A 26,040-nucleotide genomic window follows, 5' to 3' on the forward strand; every position below is an offset into this window, starting at 1 on the left:
TACAGGTGAGTGCCACCACGCCCGGCTGATTTTTTGTATTTTTAGCAGAGGTGGGGTTTCACCTTGTTGGCCAGGCTGGTCTTGAACTCCTGACCTCAGGTGATCTGCCCACCTTGGCCTCCCAAAGTGATGGGATTACAGGCAGGAGCCACCAAGCCTGGCCTGTTTTGTAGTTTTCATTGTACAAGTTTTTCACTTTTTGGATTAATTCCTAAGGATTTTCTTCTTTTTGATATTATTGTAAATGAAATTGTTTTTATAATTTTTGTTTCAGATCACTCACTGTCAGTGTAGAGAAAAGTAACTGATTTTTGTGTGCTGACTTTGTATCTTGCTACTTTGCTGCATTCATTTATTAATTCTAACAGTTTTTTCTTAGTTTGTGAAATCTTTAGGGTTTCTACATATAAGATCATATCATTGGAGAGCAGAGATTATTTTACTTCTTCCTTTCCGTTTGGATGCCTTTGATTTCTTTTTCTTTTTTTTTTTGAGATGGAGTCTCACTCTTTCGCCCAGGCTGGAGTGCAGTGGCTCGATCTCGGCTCACTGCAAGCTCCACCTCCCGGGTTCACGCCATTCTCCTGCCTCAGCCTCTCGAGTAGCTGGGACTACAGGCACCCGCCACCGCGCCCAGCTAATTTTTCTGTATTTTTAGTAGAGACGGGGTTTCACCGTATTAGCCAGGATGGTCTCGATCTCCTGACCTCGTGATCCACCCGCGTCGGCCTCCCAAAGTGCTGGGATTACAGGCGTGAGCCACTGCGCCTGGCCTGATTTCTTTTTCATTCCTAATTGCTCTGGCTAGAACTACCAGTACTATGTTGACTAGAAGTCAACATAGGGTTTTTTTTTTTTTGAGACAGGGTCTCACTCTGTCACCCAGGCTGGAGTGCAGTGGTGCGATCTCAGCTCACTGCAACCTCCACCTCCCGGGTTCAAGCGATCCACCCAGCCTCCCAAGTAGCTGGGACAACAGGCACCTGCCGCCACGCTTGGTTAATTTTTTTTTGTAGAGATGAGGTTTCACCATGTTGCCCAGGCTGGTCTTGAACTCTTGAGCTCAAGTGGTCCGCCCACCTTGGACTCCCAAAGTGCTGGGATTACAGGCATGTGCCACTGTGTCCAGCCTTGGGCAGCCATTTTGGACCATAAGATGAAAACTGCCAGTTGTCTTCAACAAAAAGAGCGCAAGATAGCAAAAGACTGGGTTCCTGACACCGTAAAGCAACTATGCAGCTCTGGATCACTTTCATTCAGATTAATATGAGAGAGGAAAACAAACTACTTTTTGACTAGGAGGCAGTTGTTATTTGAACCTTTCTTACAGCATGGAGCCTGTATCCCACCATTGTAGTTTGTCTAATGAATAAATGGATGATTGAATAACCAAAGAAGCAGTCAGATCCAGGCCCCCATACAGATTCATGCACAAAGACTCTGCCTTAGCCTAGGTGGGAGCAACGTCCAGGTGCAGTAGAAATATTCATGGCTGGAGGCTAGTTCTTTCTGACACAGGGTCTCGCTCTGTTGCCCAGGCTGGAGTGCAGTGGTGTGATCACGGCTCACTGCTGCCTTGACCTCTTGGGCTCCAGCAGTCCTCTCACCTCAGCCTCCTGAGTAGCTGGAACTACAGATGTGTGCCACCACAGCTGGAGATATATATATGTATTTTTTATAGAGACATGGTCTCACTATGTTGCCCAGGCTGATCTCAAACTCCAGGATTCAAGTGATCTGCCCACCTTGGTCTCCAAAAGTGCTAGGACTGCAGGTGTGTACCACCGTGCCTGGCTGATTTTTTTTCTGTATTTTTTTTAACGACAAGGTCTCACTCTACCAGGCTGGTCTCGAACTCTTTGGCTCAAGTGATTTGCCCACCTTGGCCTTCCAAAGTGCTGGGATTACAGGTGTAAGCCACCGCGCCTGGCCCAGAGGAGCTAGTACTACTAGTTCTAAATCTGGCCTTTCCACTAGCTAGCTGTGTGCCCCTGAGCCACCCATGTGCCCTCTCTGGGTCTCACATTTCTCAGTTGTAAACCCGGCTTAGCAAATCTTTAAATCTATGCAATTTAAAGTTATTTTTGCTCTTTTGCAATTGCATTTCTAGGAATCCATTCCCAGGGAAATTCTCACCACATAGCACATGAACACAGGTGCCAGGATGCAGCTGCACCTTCCTTTGTGGAGCAAAAACTTGGAAATATCCTTAAAAGTGATTAAGTAAATCAGAGTATGAACTGTGCTCTGGAGTGCAAGACCGCGGACTATGGCTTTCTGGATTCTCTGGTGACACCTGCTGGCACAAAGGGATACTGCAGCCCAGCTTGGTTACGTATTGGGAATTTCTAGAAGAAGAGAGGTTCGGGGCAATTGTGTGAGGGTGGTTTGGGAAGGCACAGAGCAGGGAGAGATTTGGAAGGAAGGTCAAGGCAAGGAGGTGGCCTGGGTGTGGAGGTTGCAAGCATAGACTTGGGTTCAAATTCCAGCTTCACTACTTACTAGCTGGGTGAGCCTGGGTGGATTTGGGACTTTCTCTGAGCCTCACTTTCTTCTTCTGTAAAATAAGGATTCTGGGCCAGGTGCGGTGGCTCATGCCTTTAATCCCAGAACTTTGGGAGGCTGAGGCGGGCAGATCACAAGGTCAAGAGTTCGAGACCAGCCTGGCCAACATGGTGAAACCCCATCTCTACTAAGAATACAAAAATTAGCTGGGTGTGGTGGCGTGTGCCTGTAATCCCAGCTACTCGGGAGGCTGAGGCAAGAGAATCACTTGAACCTGGGAGGCAGAGGTTGCAGTGAGCTGAGATCACGCCACTGCACTCCAGCCTGGGAGACAGAGCAAGACTCTGTCTCAAAAAAAATAAAATAAAATAAGGATCCTAAGGCCCGTGTTACAGATTATTGGTGAGGGCTGGGTGAAAGAACTAATTTATTTAATAATTTATTGAAACAACATTTCAATAAAGATGTCAGTGACTGACAATCTCATCTAGGTGCCAGGGATACAGCAGGGGATGAGGCCTGGGTCCTGCCCTCCTGGAGCTTACAGTCTAGTGCAGAGAACACAACAAACCAATAAGCATGCATGTGATATAATCTCAGGTATTATTTTTATTTATTTATTTATTTTTGAGACAGAGTCTCAGTTTGTCACCCAGGTTGGAGTGCACTGGTGCCATCTCAGTCACTGCAGCCTCCACCTCCTGGGTTCCAGTGATTCTCATGCCTTGGCCTGCCAAGTAGCTGGGACTACAGGTACACACCACCATGTCGGCTAACTTTTGTATTTTAGTAGTCGGCTAATTTTTGTATTTTAGTAGAGATGGGGTTTTTCCATGTCGCCCAGGCTAGTCTCGAACTCCTGGCCTCAAGTAATTTACCCACCTCGGCCTCCCAGTGGCGGGATTACAGGCGTGAACCACCGTATCCAGCCTAATTTCAGGTATTTATGACACTACAAACGAAAATAAAGCAGGAGGCGTGCTGGTGTGGGTGGAGGCATTGTTACAAGTGGGGTGTGTGAGGAGGGCATCTCTGAGGAGGCTTGAGCAGAGCCAGAGGAGCCGTGTCGTGTGTGTGTATGGAATGCATGAGAAATGCTAGTGGAAGAGCCTCACACATAGGAAAGGGCCAATAAATGGTGGGTCATCATCTTATTACACACAGCAGAGGGAACGAAAGGAAGAGGGATTGGAATCCGTTTCCCAGGGTCTGCGGCAGTCACAGAGAGTGACAGAAGATTCCCTGGGCTGGCAGGTGGAGCAGCAGCCCTGCTCATGGTGTGGGGGGTGGGGAGCCCTGGACCTGAGGAGACCCAGCTCTGGGTGGCCTTGGGTGAGCCACTCTCTGGGCCTCAGTTTCCTCATTTGGAAAACAGGGCCGATAATGCCCACCTTGTGAAACTGGGGGGTGTCACAGGCTGAATGATGACCTCCTCCAAATAATTATGTTGAGATTCTAACCCCCAGTACCTCAGAATGTTACTGTATTTGGAAATAAGGCCTTTAAAGGGGTAATTAAGTGGCCAGGCACAGCGGCTCACGCCTGTAATCCCAGCACTTTGGGAGGTGGAGGTGGGCAGATTACTTGAGGTCAGGAATTCGAGACCAGCCTGGCCAACATGGTGAAACCCTATCTCTAGGAAAAATACAAAAATTAGCTGGGCATGGTGGTGAACATCTGTAATCCTAGCTACCCGGCAGGCTGAGGCAGGAGAATTGCTGGAAGCCGGGAGGCGGGAGTTGCAGTGAGCCGAGATCCCGCCACTGCACTCCAGCCTGGGTCACAGAGTGAAGCTCCCTCTTGAAAAAAAAAAAAAGGTAATTAAGTAAAAATGAGGTCATTAGGGTGGACCCTAATCCAATATAATCGTTGTCTTCATAGGAAGAGGAAATGTGGACACAGACACAAACAGAGGGAGGGCCATGTGAGCCCAGAGCAAGAAGGCGGCCATCTACAAGCCCCGGAGCGAGGCTGCGGGAGAAGCCAGCCCCGCTCACACCTTGACAACAATCTCTGTTGATTAAACCACACAGTCTGCAGTCCTCTATTACGGTGAGCCCTGCCAGCTGAGATGGGGTTGACGTGGGAATACAGCTGGGCACACAGGAGGCCCTCAGTGGAGGCTGGTTTCTTTGGCCCAGTGCCACATGGAGCCCGTCCACTGGCTGAGCTGGGGGCCTGATTGTGGCCACTCAACGTCTCTGTAAAGCTCAGGGTCTGCCTTGAGATCCTGCACTTACCACGGAGTGGCCCTGCCTTGGGGACCCATCTCACCTCACTTCTGCCCTCCTTTCTGGTTCATGACTCAGCCATCCACTAACCTCCCGTGGTAGCACTGTGGCCACTCTGTAAACGACAGCACCACTGGTGTCTCATTGGGGGCCAGTCTGGAAGAGGGAGACCACCCTAGGCATTTCAGACAGAAGGGATGGAATACAGGCATTGCTTACACAGAGGACGGACGAGCCGAGATGCAGAAAGGCCAGGTGAAGCATTGGCCACAGCTGGAGGCGCTCCACCCTAGGCCAGCGGGACAGAAGGAAGCTGGGTCCGAGAAGCCAGGGCTTGGAGCCACAGTGGGGGCTGCCTGGTAGGAGTTGACCAGGGAGGGAGGGTCTGTCGGGCGGGGGCGGGGGCTCTTTGCCTTCCGATCCAAGCTCCGCCCTCTGCAGCTCTGCTCTGTGTATCCCAGAGCTGACCCTGCGGCGCCTTTCCCAGGCTCGCGTCCGGTGAGTTCCTATTGGCCAACGGGAGGCCCCGGTCGGGGAGCGCCCCGGGACAGGCCCCTGTGCCTCCCGCTTTGCGGAGTGACGCAGGCCCTGGGCTACAGCAACCTTACCAGCCCCTCCAGCTTAGAGGTGGCAGTGGCTCTCTGCGGCTGCGATTTCTTTCTCGGAGCGTCCTCCCCATCCCGTTCGGCCTCTGCCTCCACCGTCGTCTCTGTAACCCGTTCCCTGTGGGAGAGTCTCTGTTGCGGTGTTCAGGGGTTTCGGTTTTCTGGCTGAACAGTGATTAACGCGAGGGAAGGCGCTGACGGCAAGGTGGCAGGTGACCAGCCCAGCAGGCCGCCCAGCCCTTCCCTTCCTACAGACAGAAGCACTGAGGCCTGCAGAGGGGACAGGCAGGTGGGCGTGGGGGATCGGGGGCAGCCCTGGAGTCAGACAGGCCTTGTTTTGTCCCAGGAAGAACATTCCAACACAGACCACAACACCTATGGACCTGGAAAACATTGTGCTCAGTGAAAGAAGCCAGACACAGAAGGACAATGTTGTATGAGGTACCTGGGATGGGCAGATTCTGAGAGATGGAAAATAGAATAGAGATTACCTGGAGAGAGGGGGGAATTGTTGAATGAGGACAGAGTTTGTGTTGGGGATGATGGAAAAGTTTTGGATACAGAGAGTTATGACGAGTATACAGCATTGTGAATTTTTTTTCTTTTCTTTGTTTTTTGTGACAAGGTCTTATTCTGTTGCCCAGGCTGGACTGCAGTGGTGCAATCCTAGCTCACTGCAGCTTCGACCTCCCGTGCTCAAGTGATTTTCCCACCTCAGCCTCCCGAGTAGCTGGGACTACAGGTGCGTGCCACCACGCCTGGCTGATTTTTCTTGTATTTTTTTGTAGAGATGGGGGTATCGCTATGTTGCCCAGGCTGGTCTTGAACACTTGGGCTCAAGTAATTCTCCCGCCTTGGCCTCCCAAAGTGCTGGGATTACAGGTGTGAGCCACTGTGCCTAGTGTGAATGCATTTAATGCCACTGAATTGTACACTTAATAATGGTGAAAAATATAAATATTCTGTTAAATATTTTACCACAATAAAAAAATGTGTGACAGTTGTCAGAATCAAAATGGTGTCACTAATGTTTTTTTTTTTTTTTTTTTTTTTTTTTTTGAGATGGAGTCTCGCTCTGTTGCCCAGGAGGGAGTGCAGTGGTGCGATCTCGGCTCACTGCAAGCTCCGCCTCCCAGCTTCACACCATTCTCCTGCCTCAGCCTCTTGGAGTAGCTGGGACTGCAGGCACCCGCCACCACGCCCAGCTAATTTTTTGCATTTTTAGTAGAGACGGGGTTTCATCGTGGTCTCGATCTCCTGACCTCGTAATCCGCCCTCCTCAGCCTCCCAAAGTGCTGGGATTACAAACGTGAGCCACCGCGCCTGGCCTGGTGTCACTAATGTTAAGAAAACCTTCACAAATAGAGGCAGACCATGAAGAGAGGGGTCTCATTCTTATATGCCTGATAAAGAAAGACTTTAAGAACTACAACCCTTGGCGGGGTGCAGTGGCTCATGTTTGTAATCCCAGCACTTTGGGAAGCTGAGGCAGGTGGAATACCTGGGGTCATGAGTTCGAGACCAGCCTGGCCAAAATGGTGTAACACTGTCTCTATTAAAAATACAAAAAAAATTAGCCAGGCGTGGTGGCAGGCGCCTGTAATCCCAGCTACTCAGGAGACTGAGTCAGGAGAATCGCTTGAACCTGGGAGGTGAAGGTTGCAGTGAGCAGAGATAGCACCACTGCATTCCAGCCTGGGCAACAGAGTGAGACTCTGTCTCAAAAAATTAAAAAAAAAAAAAAAAAAGAAGCCGGGTGCGGTGGCTCACGCCTGTAATCCCAGCACTTTGGGAGGCCAAGGTGGATGGATCACATGAGGTTGAGAGTTTGAGACCAGCCTGACCAACATGGAGAAACCCCGCCTCTACTAAAAATACAAAATTAGCCAGGTGTGGTGGTGCATGCCTGTAATCCCAGCTACTCGGGAGGCTGAGACAGGAGAATCGCTTGAACCCGGGAGATGGAGGTTGCGATGAGCTGATAGTGTCATTGCACTCCAGCCCAGGCAACAAGAGCAAAACTCTGTCTCAAAAAAGAAAATATTTATTTTTAGAGACAAGGTCTTGCTCTGTCACCGAGGCTGGAGTGCAGTCATAGCTCACTGGAGCCTTGAAGTCCTGGGCTCAGGCAGTCCTCCTGCCTCACCTCCCAAGTATCTGAGACTACAGGCAGGCACCACTATGTCCAGTTAATTTTTAAATTTTTTCATAGAGATGGAGTCTCACTATGTTGCACAGGCTGGTCAGTCTAGACAATTTTAAATTAAATATGTAACTCACATTAACAGGTCACATTATTTATTTATTTATTTATTTATTTATTGACACAGGGTCTCGCTCTGTTGTCCAAGCTGGAGTACAGTGGCACAATTTCGGCTCACAGCAACCTCTGCCTCCCGGGTTCAAGCGATTCCCCTGTCTCCGCCTCCCGAGTAGCTGGGATTACAGGCGCCCACCACCACGCCCGGCTAATTTTTGTATTTTTAGTAGGGACAGGGTTTCACCATGTTGGCCAGGCTGGTCTTGAACTCCTGGCCTCGTGATCCACCCGCCTTGGCCTCTCAAAGTGCTGGGATTACAGGCATGAGCCACCATGCCCAACCGCAGACATCTTTTTGTTTTGTTTTTTTTTCTTTTTTTTTTTCTTTGGAGATGGTGTCTCGCTCTGTTGCCCAGGAGGGAGTGCAGTGGCATGATACCTGCTCACTATAGCCTCGAACTCCTGGATTCAAGCGATCCTCCCACCTCAGCCTCCTGAGTAGCTGGGCCTACAAATGTGCAACACCACGCCTGGCTAATTAAAAAGGTGACAGAGAGACCCTGTCTCAAAAAGCAAACAAACAAAAAACGACACATGTGCGTGTGTGTGTGTGTGTGTGTGTGTCTGTGGAGAGAGAGAGAGAGAAAGAAGGAGAATATGATACATCAAATGTAGTAAAATGAAAACATTTGGGAAATATTTGAAGTATTTGTAACTTTTCTCTAAGTCTGAAAGTATTTCAAAATTAAAAAAAAATTTAAAAGGTGAATAGTGCCAGGTGTGTTGGTGCACGCCTGAAATCCCAGCACTTTGGGAGGCCAAGGCAGGTAGATCACCTGAGGTCAGGAGTTCGAGACCAGCCTGGCCAACATGGAGAAACTCCGTGTCTACTAAAAATACAAAAATTAGCCAGGCATGGTGGTGGGCACTTGTAGTCCCAGCTACTCGGGAGGCTGAGGCACGAGAATTGCTTGAATCTAGGAGGTGGAGGTTGCAGTGAGCTGAGATTGCACCACTGCACTCCAGCCTGGGCGACAGAGCAAGACTCTGTCTCAAAAAAAAAAAAAAAAAAAAATGGTGAATAGTACCAAGCGGTGGTGGAAGATATGGGATATAAAACCCTTGGGCACAGCTGGTGTGAGTGGAGACGGGACAGCCTTTCTGTAGAGCACCTGGTACTTAGTCAAATTAGTCCCCCCATCCCCTACAACCTACTCTCAAGCCAAAGTCCCAGAGACATCCTCACACCAGCCCTAGAGGGTGCAAGGAGGTGGCAGCTCACCTTATCTGTGGTGGGGCAGGTTGGGGGTCACTTGGGTGTCTACCCCAGGGACTGGGCGGCTGAGACTGGGGACTGCTCATAGAAAGGACCGTGGATGAGCCACAGCTACAAAACCCTTCACACAAGTGTTCATGCCACAAAGTAGCCACATGTGTTTTGCAGGGACACATTCCAGCAAAAAGACACAAAGTGACAGAATGGCTGCCTTTGAGTGGGGGTGAGAAGAGGTGGATGGCAGGTACCAGAAGAGAAGGGAATAAATATATGAAGAAATACAACCCCCTCGGGCAGTGCCTGGCACAGCATAAATGCCCAGGAAAAAGAGGCCCAGTTGCTTACGTTCCCGGCGACAGGGCCGGGACCAGCGCCGGCTTCCTGGTGAAGGAGGCCACCCTTTCCTCTTGAGGGGTCTGAGTATGCATGTCAGCACCCGGTGGGCACCCAGCACCCAGCTGACCAGGGGCCTTCACCTCTGTGGGGGTTACCGGCCTGGCCCTGAGAACTGGATGAAAGCTGGAATAATTCTTTCTGTAATAAAGCAAACGCAACCACGTTCAACCTTTCCCTTCATTTCAGAGGCTTCCCGCACCTGATGCCTCCCACAGCCTCAGGCTGAGTCCCCAGGTGCTCCAGTGGGGGTGGCAAAGCTGAGCACTGAGTTGGTTTCCATAGTTTTCATCATTAAAATGTTTAAATGACTAGGCCGAGCACAGTGGCTTCTCAGCATTTTGGGAAGCCGAGGTAGGCAGATCGCTTGAGCCCATGAGTTTGAGACCAGCCTGGGAAACATGGCAAAATCCTGTCTCTACAAAATGCAAAAAAATTAGCCAGGTGTGGTGGTGTGTGCCTGTAGTCCCAGCTACTTGGGAGGCTGAAATGTGAGGATTGCTTGAGCCTGGGGAGGCTGAGATTGCAGTGAGCCGTGATTGTGCCACTGCACTCTAGCCTGGGTGACAGAGTGGCAGACCCTGTCTCCAAAAAAAAAAAAAAAAAAATTAGCCTGGCATGGTGGTGCGTGCCTGTGGTCCCAGCTACTTGGGAGGCAGAGGAGGGAAGGGCACCTGAGTCTGGGGGTGTTGAGGCTGCAGTGAGCTGTGATGGTGCCGACGTACTTGAGCCTGGGCTACAGAGATCTTATCTAAAGAAAAGCCTAAATGAATGTGTGGTGAGGAGCAGGCTTGAGTTATTTTCATGATGAGCTCCTCAGGATAGATTCTCAAAAGTGGCATTGGTGGGGCTCTACCTCTGTTTATTCATTAATCTGTTTTATTTTTATATTTATTTATTTATTTCAGTTATTTTTTTGAGATGGAGTTTCACTCTGTCACCCAGGCTGGAGTGCAGTGGCACGATCTCGGTTCACTGCAACATCCCTCTCCCAGGTTCAAGCAATTCTCCTACCTCAGCCTCACAAGTAACTGGGATTACAGGCGTGCGCCACCACATTCAGCTAATTTTTAGTAGAGACGCAGTTTCACCATGTTGGCCAGGCTGGTCTTGAACTCCTGACCTCAAGTGATCCACCCGCCTTGGCCTCCCAAAGTGCTGGGATTACAGGTGGCAGTCACCATGGCTGGCTTGTTTTATTTTTAACATTTAATTGGGTAAGCTGCAGATACCCCTCAAGATGTCAGTGTGCATGTCAAGATGTCAGTGTGCACGTCATTAACTAGAGTCAAATATTTGTTTCTCTGTCTGTAAAGCTTACATTTGGTGAACTGCACCTTTAGGTGTACTTTTGATTATTATTATTATTTTTTTGAGATGGAGTTTTGCTCTGTCACCAAGGCTGAGTCTAGTGTTGCGATCTCTGCTCACTGCAACCTCTGCCTCCAGGGTTCAAGTGATTCTTCTGCCTCAGCCTCCTGAGCAGTTGGGATTACAGGCGCCTGCCACTGCACCAGGCTAATTTTTGTATTTTTAGTAGAGATGGGGTTTCACCATGTTGGCCAGGCTGGTCTTGAGCTCCTGACCTCAAGTGATTCACCCGCCCCAGCCTCCCAAAGTGCTGGGATTACAGGGGTGAGCCACTGCGCCCAGCCACTTTTGATTACTTTTGACAAATGCATCCACCTGCACTGCCCAAACTCCCTCCAAGATGTTAAACATGCAGTGGGTTGAATTGTGTCCCCCAAGAAGATATGTTCAAGTCCTAACCCCTGGGACCTGTGAATGTGACCTTATTTGGAAATAGGGGCTTGCAGATGAACCCAACTTAAGATGAGATCATTCTGGATTGTGGGGGCTCTAAATCCAATGACTGGTGTTTATATAAGAGAAAGGAGAGGGAGATTTGGAGGTGAACACACAGAGGGAAGAAGGCACTGGAAGAAGGCCGTTGGAAGATTAAGGCAGAGATTGGGGTGAGGCAGCTAGAGCCAAGGAACATGGTGGATGGCGGGCAAGCACCATGGAAGAGGCAAGGAGGGATTCTTCCCCAGAGCCTCCAGAGGGAGCAGGACCCTGGTTTCAGGGGAGAATAAATTTCTGTTGTTTTGGGTTTGTGGTATCTTATCATGGCGGCCTTAGGAAACTCACACGAAACACACACCATCACCCCAGCGAGCACCCTTGTCCCCTCCTCAGTTGTGCTCTCCCCCAACTGGCAACCACCGTGCTGATATTTTCCTCATGGGTGAGTTCTGCCTGTTCTAGAGCTCTAAACAGATGGGATCACACAGGAAGTTCTTGGCATCTGGCATCTTTCACTCAAACAAGATTTCAGAGATTGTTGCAGCTATCAGTGCTGGCACGCCTATAATTAAAGTCCATTTACTTGAAGAGGAAGTAAATTTTGAATTTGAGGAGGGGAGTAGGCAGTAAGCTTTCTTTTTTTTTTTTTTTTTGAGACCGAGTTTCACTCTTTTTGCCCAGGCTGGAGTGCAATGGTGCGATCTCGGCTCACCGCAACCTCTGCCTCCCGGGTTCAAGCGATTCTCCTGCCTCAGCCTCCCAAGTAGCTGGGATTATAGGCATGCACCACCACACCGGGCTAATTTTTGTATTTTTAATATTTTTGTATTTTGTATTTTTAGTAGAGACGGGGGTTTCACCATGTTGGTCAGGCTGGTCTCGAACTCCTGACCTCAGGTGATCTGCCCGCCTGGGCCTCCCAAAATGCTGGGATTACAGGCGTGAGCCACCGCGCCTGGCCTGTAAGCTTTCTCTTTAAAGCTGGGCTTGAGGCCCCCTCTCCCGGGGGTCTCTGGCCCTCAGGAACCCCAGTCTGAAGCTGTTTCCCAGTTCAGAGGTTGCAGAGATCGGAGGCGGGGCTCCCGCGCCACCTTGTGGCCATTCTAGGCAGCGCAACCCATGATGCCTGTGGCGGGGCGTGGGGGTGGGGTGGGGTGGGTTGGGGAAGGTGGGTTGGGCAAATGTGTATTTTCCTGGTTTGGGCCCTCAAGTCACTGAGCACCTACTCAGCACCTGCATGATTCCACTGTATGTGTGTGTGGACAGAGATGACCAAGATTGCGCAGACCCTAGAGGGGTTCCCAGGAGAGGGAGACTACACAACACTAACTCCAGTAGGGTGGATGGAGTGAGGCCCAGAGGCCTGAAGTCCAGCTGGAGCCTGGAGGAGGGGAGAGTAACGGACTTGGGCATTCAGGGAACGTTTCCCTGGGCATTTCGACAGCTGGGGATGGAAAGGAAGACTGTTACAGGCAGGGGAACAGCACAACCAAGGTGTGGAAGCAGGACCGGGCAACATTCTGGACCCAACCAATCATAAGGTCATACGTGTCCATGGCAAACATTTTTTTTTTTTCTTTTTAGAGACAAGGTCTTGCTCCATCACCCAGGCTGGAGTGCAGTGACACAGTCATGGCTCACTGCAGCCTTGACCTCTCGGGCCCAAGAGATCCTCCTGCCTCAATCTCCTGAATGTCTGGGACTGCAGATGCGCACCACCATACCTGGCTAATTTTGGATTTTTTTGTATAGACGGGGGGGTCTCGCTATGTTGACCGGCTTGTCTTGAACTCCTGGCCTCAAGTGATCCTCCTGCTTTGGCCTCTCAAAGTGCTGGGATTATAGGCGTGAGCCACCACGCTAGGCCCCATGGTGAATTGAGTTTTTTTTTTTTTTGAGACAGGGTCTTGTTCTGTTGCCCAGGCTGGAGTGCAGTGGCTCAATCTTGGCTCACTGCAGCCTCTGCTCCCCTTCCTGGGCTCAAGTGATTCTCCTGCCTCAGCCTCCTGAGTAGCTGGGATTACAGGGTCGTGCCACTGCGCCTGGCTAATTTTTGTATTTTTAGTAGAGATAGGGTTTCACCATGTTGGCCAGGCCGGTCTTGAACTCCTGACCTGAAATGATCCACCCGCCTCGGCCTCCCAAAGTGCTGGGATTACAGGCGTGAGCCACCGCGCCTGGCTGGCTTAAGTCTTAAGCAGCAGCTTCCACTTTTGTGTTCTGGGGGAGGCCAGCAGCTGTGTAAGAAGTCTGTGCTGGTTGCAAAAAGTGCAAGGTTTAAAAAAAAAAAAAAAAAAAAAAAAGACTGTGCTGAGGAGACCACATGGAAAGGGCAAGAGAGGCCAGGAGGAGAGGCTACTTGAAGGGACAACTTGCAGCATGTGCAGAGGCCACATGGGGAGAAAGAAACTGCCAGAGGGAGCACTGAGGAATGAACTAAGGCAGCAGACACATGGTCCAGCCAGCCATCCGCCACTCGGGCCAGCCGTGAGGTGCCACACGTGGAGCACAGAAGCCACTGTGGACGCTTGGAGCAGAGATAAGCCGTCCCCTCATGCTCTGTCCTAATTCCTCACCTACAGGATCGTGAGCAAATATACTGGTGGTTATTTTAAGCCCTTAAAAAACAGAATTACTGGCCGGGCGTGGTAGCTCACACCTGTAATCCCAACACTTTGGGCGGCCGAGGTGGGTGGATCACTTGAGGTCAGGAGTTCAAGACTAGCCTGGCCTACATGGCAAAACCCTGTCTCTACTAAAAATACAAAAATTTTTTATTTTGTATTTTTAGGGCGTGGTGGCACACACCTGTAATCCAGCTATTTGGGAGGCTAAGGCATGAGAGCTGCTTGAACCTGGGAAGTGGAATTTGCAGTGAGCTGAGATCTGAGATCATGCCACTGCACTCCAGCCTGGGCAACAAAGTGAGACTCTGTTTTGAAAAAAAAAAAAAAAAAAGGCATTACTATATAATCCAGTAACCCCACCACTGGGTATATATCCCATGGAAATGAATCTAGTGTGTTGAAGAAATATCTGCGCTTGCACATATCCTATGGAAATGAATCTAGTATGTTGAAGAAATATCTGCGCTTGCACGGTTATTGCAGCGTTATTCACTAAGTTTTGAGGTGCAGTGTTACATGGTGGCAGCCAGAACCCCCGGCCCTGGGCTACTACTGTTGCTGGTTTCTTATGACCCTTCCAGCATGAGCCTCTGCATCCTCAAATACATGAAGCTGGGTGCGGTGGCGCACGTCTGCAGTCCCAGCTACTCAGGAGGCTGAGGTGGGAGGATCGCCAGACCCAGGAATTTGTGTGCTATGATCTCCCTGTGAACAGCCACTGCAGTCCAGCCTGGGTGATACAGTGAGACCCTGTTTCTAAACAGATAAACAAACCAAAAAGAATACGTGAGTACATTTCCACTCCTCCCCTCATTTATGTGGGGTTCGCACACCACACATCCGGCCTGCTCTTGGCTTTTATTTTTTTTCCAATTAATGATAGATCTTGGAGATTGTTCTAGATGTGTACTGTTCAATATAGTAGTCGCTAGTCCAGGAGGTGATTTAAATGTATTTTAAAAGATTAAATTTTTATGTATTTTTTAAAAGTAGAGCACTCCTCCTGCCTCAGCCTCCCAAGTAGCTGGGACTACAGGCACACACCACCATGACCGGCTAATTTTTTTTTTTTTTTTTTTAAGATGGAGTCTCACTCTGTTGCCCAGGCTGGAGTGCAGTGGCATGATCTCGGCTCACTGCAACCTCTGCTGCCCGGGTTCAAGTGATTCTCTTGCCTCAGCCTCCTGAGTAGCTGGGATTATAGGCACCTGCCACTGTGCCTGGCTAATTTTTGTGGGTTTTTTTTTTTAGTAGAGATGGGGTTTCACCATCTTGGCCAGGCTGGTCTTGAACTCCTGACCTCATGATCCACCCGCCTTGGCCTCCCAAAGTGCTGGGATTACAGGTGTGAGCCACTGCACCCAGCCTTAATTTAAATTTAAATACAATTCAATAAAATTAAAAATTCAGTTCCTCAAGTACACTAGCCACATTTCAGGAATTCAATAGACACACATGGCTGATAGCTGCCGTATGATACAACCCAGATAGAGAACATGTCCATCATTCTAGAAGGTTCTCTTGGACAGTGCTGGTCTAAGTCCTCTCCCATGGAGCTACCTCATTCTTCTTAGTGTTCTTTGGTAATGACAGCCACTGACGTTACCTCACAAGCTTTTGCTATTGCAAAGCATTTGCTGTTCTCCATTTTTCTTTAAGCAAATGTGAGTGTCTTGGTGGCATAAATGCCTTGCATTTCTGGGTCCAGTGACATTTCCCATTTTGTTTTTTTCCTTTTTTTATATTTTGTTTTATTATTTTTTAAATTATACTTTAAGTTTTAGGGTACATGTGCACAATGTGCAGGTTAGTTACATATGTATACATGTGCCATGTTGGTGTGCTGCACCCAGTAACTCGTCATTTAACATTAGGTATATCTCCAAATGCTATCCCTACCCCCTTCCCCCACCCCACAACAGGCCCCGGTGTGTGATGTTCCCCTTCCTGTGTCCATGTGTTCTCATTGTTCAATTTCCACCTATGAGTGAGAATATGCCGTGTTTGGTTTTTTTTGTCCTTGCGATAGTTTGCTGAGAATGATGGTTTCCAGCTTCATCCATGTCACTACAAAGGACATGAACTCTCATTTTTTATGGCTGCGACATTTCCCATTTTGATGGGCATGGCCAGATTAGAACTGGAGGTTACGCCACTTCGCACAAAGACTGAAGCTGTAAGAGTGCCTGTTTTTCCACACCATCAACACTGCGTGTCATTCACATTTTAAAAACGTTTTAGCTAATGGCAAAGGTTTTCAAGACAAACGTGACTTTACCAGGCCCCTGCCCTGCCTGTTGCCTCTCAAGTCACAATGCCAGTGGACATCTTTCTCTGTCCACAGGTGAAGATCCATCTTTTGTTTGTTTGTTAGAAATGAGAGGCCGGGCGTGGTGGCTCATGCCTGTAATCCCAGCACTTTGGGAGGCCGAGGCGGGTGGATCAGGAGGTCAGGAGATCGAGACCACGGTGAAACTCCGTCTCTACTAAAAATACAAAAAATTAGCTGGGCGCAGTGGCGGGCGCCTGTAGTCCCAGCTACTTGGGAGGCTGAGGCAGAATGGCGTGAACCAGGAAGGCGGAGCTTGCAGTGAGCCGAGATCGCGCCACTGCACTCCAGCCTGGGCGACAGAGCGAGACTCCGTCTCAAAAAAAAAAAAAAAAAAAAAAAAAAAAAGAGATCTTACTGTATTGCCCAGGCTGGTCTTGAACTCCTGGGCTCAAGGGATCCTCCTGCCTCGGCCTCCCAAAGTGCTGGGATTACAGGTGTGAACCACTGCGCCTGGCCCACGTTGGCCTTTTTTTTCAAATTGTAAAATACGCAGAACATAAAACTTACCATATTAACCATTTTAAGTGCACAGTTTGGTGCCATTAAGGACATTCACGCTGTTGGGTAATCGTCACCACCATCCATCTCCAGAACTCTTTCCATCTTCCCAAAGATGGAACTCTATATCCATTAAACAAGAACTTCCTCCTACCTCAGCTCCTGGCAACCACTGTTCTATTTTCTGTCTTTATGAATCTGACTACTCAAGGCACTTCATGTAAGTGGTATCATGCAGTATTTGTCCTTTTGTGACTGGCTTATTTCACTTAGCACAATATCCTTAAGGTTCATCCGTGTTGTAGCCTGTGTCAGAATCTCCTTACTTTTTAAGGCTAAATAACATTCTATTGTACAGACACATCACATTTTGTCCATTCGTCCATCGATGGACACGGGTGGCTTCCACCTCTTTTTTTTTTTTTTTTTTTTTTTTTAAGTCGGCGTCTTGCTCTGTCACCTAGGCTGGAGTGCAGTGGTGCGATCTCAGCTCACTGCAACCTCTACCTCCCAGGTTCAAGCGATTCTCCTGTCTCAGCCTCCCAAGTAGCAGGGATTACAGGCACCCGCCACCACACCCAGCTAATTGCTTCCACCTTTTGGCTATTGTGAAGAAGGCTGCTATGAACGTGAGTGTACAAATATCTCTTCAAGATCTTGCTTTCAATTCGTTTGGATACACACCCAGAAATAAAATTGCTGGGTCATTTGGTAATTCTATTTTTAATTTTTTGAGGAACAGCCATACCATTTCCCACAGTAGCTACACAAGCATTCCAGTTTCTACACATCCTTCCCAACGCAGCAGCCAGCCTAATGGGCGTAAGGTGGTATCTCATTGTGTTTTATTCCTTTTATTTTTAGTTGACACATAATTGTACATGTTCATGGGTTACAAAATGATATTTCAATACATGTATACAACGTGTAATAATCAAATCTGGGTAATTAGGATATCCATTACCTCAAGCGTTTATCATTTCTTTGTGTCGGGAACATTCAAAATCCTCTCTTCTCATTGCGTTTTGTTTGTTTTTTAGATGGAGTCTCACTCAGTTGCCCAGGCTGGGGTGCAGTGGCGTGATCTTGGCTTGCTGCAACCTCCACCTCCCAGGTTCAAGTGATTCTCCTGCCTCAGCCTCCCAAGTAGCTGGGACTATACGCACGTACCATCACGCCCAGCTAATTTTTGTATTTTTAGTAGAGACGGGGTTTCACCGTGTCGGCCAGGCTGGTCTCCAACTCTTGACCTCAGGTGATCCACCAAAGTGTTGCGCCTCATTGCAGTTTTGGTTTGTATTTCCTTAATGGTTAGTGATGTTGAGTATCTTATCATGTGATTATTAGCCATTCACAGTTTTCTCTGGAGAAATGTTTATTCAAGTCCTTTGCCCATTTTTAATTGAGTTGTTTTTATTGCTGTTGAGTTGTAACAGTTCTTTATGTATTCTGGATATGAACCCCTTATCAGATATATGATTTGCAAATATTTTCTCCCATTCCATGTTTCCATGTTCCATTTTTTTTTTTTTGGAGGCAGAGTCTTGCTTTGTCACCCAGGTTGGAGTGCAGAGGCACAATTTCGGCTCACTGCAACCTCCGCCTCCCGGGTTCAAGTGATTCTCATGTCTCAGCCTCCTGAATAGCTGGGATTACAGATGCACGCCACCATGCCTGGCCATTTTTTTTTTTTTAATTTTTAGTAGAGATGGGGTTTCACCATGTTGGCCAGGCTGGTCTCAGACTCCTGACCTCAAGTAATCCACCCACCTCGGCCTCCCAAAGTGCTAGGATTGCAGGCATGAGCCGCTGTGCCTGGCCAGCCCCCACTATTTCTATGACACAAATTCCTGCTACTCTCCGTCATCACCACAACTACGTGCTCCTACCTCAGGGCCTTTGCACTTGCTGTTCCCTTTGTGTGGTCCAAGGTCCCCCAGATACCTGCTTCACCACATTCAGGTTTTTGCTTAAATGTCACCTCAGTGAGGTCTTCCCTGACTACTCTAACATAAAGTTAAAATCAACTCCCCCAGCTTGGGCAATATAATGAGACCTGATCTCTACAAAACATTAAAAAATCAGCTGGGTGTGGTGGCATGCCCCTGTGGTCCCAGCTACTTGGGAGGTTGAGGTGGGAGGATCACCTGAGCCCAAGAAGCAGAGGCTGCAGTGAGCAGAGATCGTGCCACTGCACTCCAGCAGTGAGACCCTGTCTCAAAAAACAAACAAACAAAAAACCCCAGAAAACAAAAAATCAAATCTCCCAGAACTCCTGCTCTGCTCCCCTGCTGTATTTTCCTCCATAGTGCTGACCAGAATCTAATACAATCTATACTTTAATCATTGATCTTGTTTAGTGCTTGTCTTCCCCCAGGAGAATTTCAGCTCCACGAGAACAGGAATTGCTTGTCTTGTCCATGAATGTGTCTTTAGGGCCAGAATTACAGCATGTGCCAAGGAACATTCGATAAATGTGAAGGTTGAGCACTGTTTTCTGTTCGTTGGACACTCTGGTTCCTCTCGGCGGCCTGCTGATGCCCTGTGTGCATCTATCACATCCATGGCACCGGCCTTTCCTGATCCCAGAGCAAGGGCGCCCAGCGGATCTTCACGCATGTGAATGGCTCCTGCAGTCCCAGAACCTGCCACCTGGGGGCAGTATATACTCAGGCAAGTTTCACTACCGGTCCTGAGCACCTCCCGTCTCCAAAATCCTGGATCTCAGAACCTCGGAGCCTGGCAGCCCTTGGGGATCTATCTCTGCCAGCCCCACTTGGCAGATGGGGAAACTGAGGCCTCAGAGAGGAGGCATGATGGGGAAAATCTCAAACATTGGAATCAGGGAATCTGGCTTTTAAGTCTGGCTCTTGTACCCATTCACAAGGGTACAAGGGGGATTTGGAGGGGGAAGTAGGAAGTTCTAATCCTCTTCGGGCCTCAGTTTCCCCATCTGCCTGCTTTGTGGGGTGAAAGGGACATCTGATTAACTCTAATGTGTCGGGGAAGGCCAGCAGTGAGGGGTAACAGCAGGCCCAGAATCCCAGATAGAATATTATCACCTCATTTTATATACCAGGGACTGAGGCCCAGAGGGGACACCAGACACGGCCGGAGAGCCACAGCATGGAAGGCACAGGGCAGCATGAAAGGCCATCCCCCTGCCATCCCCCTGCCCCACGCCCACTAGAGACACCCCCCCATTCATGTTCTGATGGTTCACCTCTCCGCCATATTTTCCCACCTGCTGGCTGATTTCTAAGCCCTTTTGCAGAACACTCTCTGTCAAAGCAGCCACGTGGATCTCCCCTTGGCAAATCGCCTCAGTTTTCTCCTCTTGAAAATGGGATAGGGAAAAGCTGCAGAGATGGGGAGGAGGAATTGTGAAAAGCAGTTTGGGGGCAGAGGAGGACGTGTGTCCCAGGTAGGAAAGTGCCTGTTCCCTCCCCGCCCCCGCCTGGCTCCTGCCCACCACCATGTGGCCACGTGGGCCCAGCCCACAGCTTCAGGTTTTAAAAGAGGAGCTGGAAATTTGAATTTTGATGTGAAATCTCCTGATTTTTAAATGTTGGCAATAAATTCACTTAAACACACACACATCAAGCAAAACGCTATGGGGTCAAATTGAACACATCTGTGGTCTCGATTTGGCCACTGGCTGCCAGTTTGAGATCCTTTCCGGCTCTAGGTTCTGAGGGCAGGTGACTGGGAGAGGTGGCGCCAGGGGGATCCTGGTTTCCTGTGCCCACACAGCCACTCACGTACTCTGGGCCTCTGGGCCGTGGTGGTTCAAGCTCCCACCATCCCCACTTCTTGGGGAAAGGCTGAACAGTACTGGGGTGGGGGTGGGGGAGCAGCAGGCGGGGCCTGTTGAGCAAGAGCCTTGTAAAAACAAGGGCTTACGTCATCCTAGCTTGCAGCTTCCCTGCAGGACACCTGGGTCGGCACCGGGGTGGGACCTGCGCTGAGAAGGGATGGGTCATCCCCAGCAGGGGGTGGAGGGTGGGGAAGGGTGGCAAGCATGTTCCACCCCAGAGGCCAGAGGGCCTAGACCCCTGCTGGGGCTGAGTCTGGTCTTTGGGGGCTGGCCTGCAAGGTCCGAGTAACACCTTAACGCACTGTGTGACCCCAGGTCTACCCTTCTCTGTGCCTCAGTTCTTCTATCCAGAAGATGGGACTCACATTGCCAGGCCTGTTATGACAAACCCAAGAGGGAAAGTCAGACTGGAAAGATTTTATTCCTTCTCATCCTTTCATGTGACCTGGAGCAGACACACTTAGCTCTTCTGGGCCTCAGTTTCCTCATCTATAAAGTGGAGATAATGATAAGACTGTGGCCTGGCGCAGCGGCTCACACCTGTAATCTCAGCACTTTGGGAGGCTGAGGCAAGAGGGCCACTTGAGGCCAGGCGTTCGAGAAAAGCCTGAGCAACAGAGTGAGACATATCCATCTCTACAAAACATTGAAAAATATGAAAAAAGAAGAAGAAAAAAGACCTGCCTCCTACAAATTATCAGTAGGATTAAATGAGTTAATACATGCAAAGAGCTTGGAATGTGGTTCAGAGAAGGTGGAAGTTTGGCCTAAGAACACACAGCAAATCCTCCAATTAGCTTCAGTTCCCCCATATCTCCCTGCATCTCTTCAGAATCCAGAAAGGGAACGTGGGCGAGTGCTTTGGTTCAGAGAGGGGAGCCATTTTGCCTAAGGTCACACAGCCCAGCTAACGAGGAACCTCTCCTTCTTCTCAGCCTCCTCCATTTATTCACTCACCATTCATCGAGCACCTTCTATGTACCAGGCTCTGTTCTAGGCACCAGGGACACAGTAGTGAAGGCCGTGGGGACAGACAGCAAGACTGGCAGGCAAGATAATTCTGATTATAATGAGAATGGTGACGGAAATGAAGCAGGGGTGTGAGAGGAGTGACTGAGGGCCTAGACTTCCCATGGGAAGGTCAGGGAGGGTTTCCCGGAGGAGGCAGCTTTTGGGCTGAGACCTGAGGAGCTGCCTTGGGCAGAGGTGGGGTGACAGTGTTCTTGGTGCACAGGGAACAGCAAATGCATTCCTTCACTGGTAAATGTTGAGCGTGCTGTGCTCAGGAGTCCCTCGTGGGCCAGCCCTCCCCAAGTGGCAGCCTGCAGGGAGACTGAGGTAGACAGCTAGGATAATGGTGGCTGGCGATAGGGAAGGAAATTCACTAGCAGGTGGGACAGGGAGGGCCTCTCAGAAGCCGTGGCCTCTAGCTCAGCCCTGAGTGTCCCATTTTGCAGTGAGGAAGGGCTGGCCGGGTGGCCCTAGGGAAGCTGCCGCACCCCTCTGGGCCTTGATCCCTCCCCAACCCAGAGGCTGCTGGGAAGACCCAGAAAGCCAGCAGGCTGGGCCAGTGTTTTATCCCCTCCCTCCCTGCCTCCTACCCACCAAGGGTGCCCAGAGATGTCATTTCTCCAGCTCTTGGGGGCGGAGGTCACCCCAGCTCAGCAGATAACACCAAAGGTTGAGCAATGCCCGCCTGCCCGCTGGGGCCAGGGCTGGGGTCAGTGGGCTGGGGATCAGCCCCGGGCAGGCTGGGAGCTCCTGCCTAGGTGGCCTGGGCTAGGAGTGGCAGAGAGGTGGGCCCAGGGAGCTGCCCCAATGGCCTAGGAATGGGTCCGGGAGGGCAAAGGGCCCTCTAACCTGAGCCTACCCAGCAGAGGCGGGCAAGTGGTCAGAAGGCCTTGGGCCTGTGTTCAAGTCCAGGCGGGCCGTTGTCGCTTTCCCGTCTGTGAAATGGCAGCAGCAAAAGCATCTTCCTGGTGGGGTGAAAAAAGTTGAACCTCGGGGTGCAGGCCCACCGTAAGCACAGGGCAGGGACTTGGTAAAAACTTATCTTTCTCTTTCCTTCTCTTTCCTGCATACCACCCCCTCCCGTGAGGCCTCGCTTAAGTCCCTCCCTAGCAACTTCAGAAACAGAAGTTTTTGGCCTCTGGGACTGGCAATAGGTCTTAGGGCTCAGATGAGGGCATTTCATTTGGGATGAATGGGGGACATGCGGCCATGTGACCTTGGTATGCCACGCCATGCTCTCTCTGGGCCTCCACTGGCACAATCCGTGGGGGTCCCGTTCTCTCTGATGTGCAGCCCACAACGTAAGCCTTAGGTTTGGGAGTCTGGTGGGAACAATGCCACCACCACTGACAGTAGCGACACCCTTCATGGATTGCAGCTGGGAGAAGTGAAGTGACTCACCCAAGGTCACACAGTGTGGCAGGGCCGAGCACCCCCCGCCCCTGCCCCATCCCAGGGCCCAGGTCGGGTGGCGCAGCGCGGGGCAAGAGAAGACCCGGGCGTGTCCAAGCCTCGAGCAGGCGGCAGGTGTGGTGGGCGGGGCTAGGGGCGGGGCTCCGTGGACCAGGGTCCAGCCCCAAGCGGGGCGCGATCCTGCCCGGTCGCGCCGACCCCCGGGGTCCTCATATTGTCTGTGGCTTAAGAGGGGAGTCGTCACAGGCGTCAAGTCTTCTTTCTAAAGCCGGGGACCTGGGGAGGAGGTGGGAGTTTACGGGAGGAAGGGCCACGGAGATGGGTCGCTTCTCCTGGAGCTAGAGCTGCGGGCTGGGGTCTCCAGGGTTCGGCCCGGGGAGCCGACCCTGGTCGGCCGTCGGGGCTCTGCTCGGCCCTCCTGAAACCTCCGCCTCCTCCAGCAGGGGGCGGGCCGGGGCCGCGTCTCGGGGGGAAGGCGATCAGGTCGCCCCCTCCTCCGATTCCCCCGCCTTCCAGGACAGCCTCCAGCCCAGAGGGGCGGTCCGGGGGCGGGGTCGCACCGCCCCCTCTCGCTCCCAATCCCGGGGCGGCCGGGCGGGGGTGGGCAGGGGGCGTGAGGCCGCCCCTGCGTCCCGGGGGCCCCCCGAAAACGCGCTCCGGGTGCCCGGTCCCTCCGCTGCGCCCTGCCGCCGTCCTCCCGGGGGTCTCGGGCGGCCGCGGCCGTGTCCTTCGCGTCCCGGCGGCGCGGCGGGAGGGGCCGGCGTGACGCAGCGGTTGCTACGGGCCGCCCTTATAAATAACCGGGCTCAGGAGAAACTTTAGCGAGTCAGAGCCGCGCACGGGACTGGGAAGGGGACCCACCCGAGGGTCCAGCCACCAGCCCCCTCACTAATAGCGGCCACCCCGGCAGCGGCGGCAGCAGCAGCAGCGACGCAGCGGCGACAGCTCAGAGCAGGGAGGCCGCGCCACCTGCGGGCCGGCCGGAGCGGGCAGCCCCAGGCCCCCTCCCCGGGCACCCGCGTTCATGCAACGCCTGGTGGCCTGGGACCCAGCATGTCTCCCCCTGCCGCCGCCGCCGCCTGCCTTTAAATCCATGGAAGTGGCCAACTTCTACTACGAGGCGGACTGCTTGGCTGCTGCGTACGGCGGCAAGGCGGCCCCCGCGGCGCCCCCCGCGGCCAGACCCGGGCCGCGCCCCCCCGCCGGCGAGCTGGGCAGCATCGGCGACCACGAGCGCGCCATCGACTTCAGCCCGTACCTGGAGCCGCTGGGCGCGCCGCAGGCCCCGGCGCCCGCCACGGCCACGGACACCTTCGAGGCGGCTCCGCCCGCGCCCGCCCCCGCGCCCGCCTCCTCCGGGCAGCACCACGACTTCCTCTCCGACCTCTTCTCCGACGACTACGGGGGCAAGAACTGCAAGAAGCCGGCCGAGTACGGCTACGTGAGCCTGGGGCGCCTGGGGGCCGCCAAGGGCGCGCTGCACCCCGGCTGCTTCGCGCCCCTGCACCCACCGCCCCCGCCGCCGCCGCCGCCCGCCGAGCTCAAGGCGGAGCCGGGCTTCGAGCCCGCGGACTGCAAGCGGAAGGAGGAGGCCGGGGCGCCGGGCGGCGGCGCAGGCATGGCGGCGGGCTTCCCGTACGCGCTGCGCGCTTACCTCGGCTACCAGGCGGTGCCGAGCGGCAGCAGCGGGAGCCTCTCCACGTCCTCCTCGTCCAGCCCGCCCGGCACGCCGAGCCCCGCTGACGCCAAGGCGCCCCCGACCGCCTGCTACGCGGGGGCCGCGCCGGCGCCCTCGCAGGTCAAGAGCAAGGCCAAGAAGACCGTGGACAAGCACAGCGACGAGTACAAGATCCGGCGCGAGCGCAACAACATCGCCGTGCGCAAGAGCCGCGACAAGGCCAAGATGCGCAACCTGGAGACGCAGCACAAGGTCCTGGAGCTCACGGCCGAGAACGAGCGGCTGCAGAAGAAGGTGGAGCAGCTGTCGCGCGAGCTCAGCACCCTGCGGAACTTGTTCAAGCAGCTGCCCGAGCCCCTGCTCGCCTCCTCCGGCCACTGCTAGCGCGGCCCCCGCGCGCGTCCCCCTGCCGGCCGGGGCTGAGACTCCGGGGAGCGCCCGCGCCCGCGCCCTCGCCCCCGCCCCCGGCGGCGCCGGCAAAACTTTGGCACTGGGGCACTTGGCAGCGCGGGGAGCCCGTCGGTAATTTTAATATTTTATTATATATATATATCTATATTTTTGTCCAAACCAACCGCACATGCAGATGGGGCTCCCGCCCGTGGTGTTATTTAAAGAAGAAACGTCTATGTGTACAGATGAATGATAAACTCTCTGCTTCTCCCTCTGCCCCTCTCCAGGCGCCGGCGGGCGGGCCGGTTTCGAAGTTGATGCAATCGGTTTAAACATGGCTGAACGCGTGTGTACACGGGACTGACGCAACCCACGTGTAACTGTCAGCCGGGCCCTGAGTAATCGCTTAAAGATGTTCCTACGGGCTTGTTGCTGTTGATGTTTTGTTTTGTTTTGTTTTTTGGTCTTTTTTTGTATTATAAAAAATAATCTATTTCTATGAGAAAAGAGGCGTCTGTATATTTTGGGAATCTTTTCCGTTTCAAGCATTAAGAACACTTTTAATAAACTTTTTTTTGAGAATGGTTACAAAGCCTTTTGGGGGCAGTAATTGGCTTTTGTTTTTTATTTTTTTACTTTATTTTGGATTTGTAGGATTTTGTTTTTGCGTTTCTGGTGTGTAGGGGGTTGTGTGTGGGGGGCTGCTGTTATTTTTGGAGGTTTTGGTGGTTGGGTGGGGGTGTTGCAGCTGGTTTTTCTGCCTCCTCTGCTACTCCCCCTCCCACACACACAGGGTCTGCTTGAGATGGGGTTCCAGCCCCGGGGGAAAGGGGAGAAGAGTAATGGGTCAGGCATTCAGGCTGACTCAGAGCCCCTAGGCGCCGGGACGGGTGGCTGGGAACCCTGCTTGAGAAGAGATTCCGGAGCCTCTGGCTGGTCCCGAGTGTCAGGCTTGGGTTTGGAAGGGCTGGGAGGTCTGTGACCCCTGCCCTGTGTTTGGGGACTAGGTAGGCAGGCCTGTGACTGTAGGAGGAGGGGGTTCAGGTCTTGGTCCTGCTGAGCCCGAGTCAGGGCAGATGCTTTTGGTCAGTGTAGTGGGGTGGGTTGTTTAAAACACAGTTTGTGTATACATGTGTATTTTAAAGAGGGGAGCCTGGGTGTGTGGGCGAGTCTGTGTTTGTGTGTCCCTGGCCAG

General features: G+C 51.9%; 1 protein-coding gene and 2 long non-coding RNA genes across 5 annotated transcripts, besides 9 other annotated features; 2 read left to right on the plus strand and 1 right to left on the minus strand.

The window, feature by feature from the left end:
- Nucleotides 5,033–5,534: an enhancer, noted in NCBI's record as "H3K27ac-H3K4me1 hESC enhancer chr20:48788805-48789306 (GRCh37/hg19 assembly coordinates)". NCBI's record gives its function as "activates a minimal SCP1, AML or CMV promoter by ChIP-STARR-seq in primed H9 embryonic stem cells {active_cell/tissue: H9 hESC(primed)}" and the evidence as "EXISTENCE:reporter gene assay evidence [ECO:0000049][PMID:30033119]".
- LINC01273 (long intergenic non-protein coding RNA 1273) lies at nucleotides 5,335–9,436 on the plus strand. Its single transcript, NR_109943.1, has 3 exons — nucleotides 5,335–5,553; nucleotides 5,688–5,782; nucleotides 9,046–9,436. It is a non-coding gene; the product is annotated as a long intergenic non-protein coding RNA 1273 (long non-coding RNA).
- Nucleotides 11,935–12,434: an enhancer, noted in NCBI's record as "H3K4me1 hESC enhancer chr20:48795707-48796206 (GRCh37/hg19 assembly coordinates)". NCBI's record gives its function as "activates a minimal SCP1, AML or CMV promoter by ChIP-STARR-seq in primed H9 embryonic stem cells {active_cell/tissue: H9 hESC(primed)}" and the evidence as "EXISTENCE:reporter gene assay evidence [ECO:0000049][PMID:30033119]".
- Nucleotides 17,368–24,834, minus strand: CEBPB-AS1 (CEBPB antisense RNA 1). The gene is made up of 7 exons (NR_125739.1): nucleotides 24,429–24,834; nucleotides 24,033–24,187; nucleotides 22,763–23,050; nucleotides 22,221–22,326; nucleotides 21,308–21,392; nucleotides 19,778–19,892; nucleotides 17,368–19,185 (listed from the first exon to the last, which is right to left on the minus strand). It is a non-coding gene; the product is annotated as a CEBPB antisense RNA 1 (long non-coding RNA).
- Nucleotides 19,360–19,449: an enhancer, noted in NCBI's record as "active region_18084". NCBI's record gives its function as "activates an Ori minimal core promoter by ATAC-STARR-seq in GM12878 lymphoblastoid cells {active_cell/tissue: GM12878}" and the evidence as "EXISTENCE:reporter gene assay evidence [ECO:0000049][PMID:35858748]".
- Nucleotides 23,128–23,537: a silencer, noted in NCBI's record as "silent region_13015". NCBI's record gives its function as "represses an Ori minimal core promoter by ATAC-STARR-seq in GM12878 lymphoblastoid cells {active_cell/tissue: GM12878}" and the evidence as "EXISTENCE:reporter gene assay evidence [ECO:0000049][PMID:35858748]".
- Nucleotides 23,348–25,455, plus strand: CEBPB (CCAAT enhancer binding protein beta). 3 transcript variants are annotated; one of them, NM_001285878.1, is made up of 1 exon: nucleotides 23,348–25,455. In NM_001285878.1, the coding sequence occupies exon 1, from the start codon at nucleotides 23,868–23,870 to the stop codon at nucleotides 24,834–24,836; it is 969 nt and encodes a 322-aa protein (NP_001272807.1). In that variant the 5' UTR covers nucleotides 23,348–23,867; the 3' UTR covers nucleotides 24,837–25,455. The 3 variants fall into 2 exon arrangements, with proteins under 3 accessions (NP_001272807.1, NP_001272808.1, NP_005185.2); NM_005194.4 differs by having other exon boundaries at nucleotides 23,595–25,433.
- Nucleotides 23,497–23,791: a silencer, noted in NCBI's record as "tiled region #92; HepG2 Repressive non-DNase unmatched - State 1:Tss". NCBI's record gives its function as "represses a minimal TATA promoter and a strong SV40 promoter by Sharpr-MPRA in HepG2 cells {active_cell/tissue: HepG2}" and the evidence as "EXISTENCE:reporter gene assay evidence [ECO:0000049][PMID:27701403]".
- Nucleotides 23,497–23,827: a biological region, named in NCBI's record as "Sharpr-MPRA regulatory region 92".
- Nucleotides 23,618–23,827: a silencer, noted in NCBI's record as "silent region_13016". NCBI's record gives its function as "represses an Ori minimal core promoter by ATAC-STARR-seq in GM12878 lymphoblastoid cells {active_cell/tissue: GM12878}" and the evidence as "EXISTENCE:reporter gene assay evidence [ECO:0000049][PMID:35858748]".
- Nucleotides 23,968–24,407: a silencer, noted in NCBI's record as "silent region_13017". NCBI's record gives its function as "represses an Ori minimal core promoter by ATAC-STARR-seq in GM12878 lymphoblastoid cells {active_cell/tissue: GM12878}" and the evidence as "EXISTENCE:reporter gene assay evidence [ECO:0000049][PMID:35858748]".
- Nucleotides 24,828–24,937: a silencer, noted in NCBI's record as "silent region_13018". NCBI's record gives its function as "represses an Ori minimal core promoter by ATAC-STARR-seq in GM12878 lymphoblastoid cells {active_cell/tissue: GM12878}" and the evidence as "EXISTENCE:reporter gene assay evidence [ECO:0000049][PMID:35858748]".

Source organism: Homo sapiens, chromosome 20, assembly GCF_000001405.40.
Source record: "Homo sapiens chromosome 20, GRCh38.p14 Primary Assembly".
NCBI classification, from domain to species: Eukaryota; Metazoa; Chordata; class Mammalia; order Primates; family Hominidae; genus Homo; species Homo sapiens.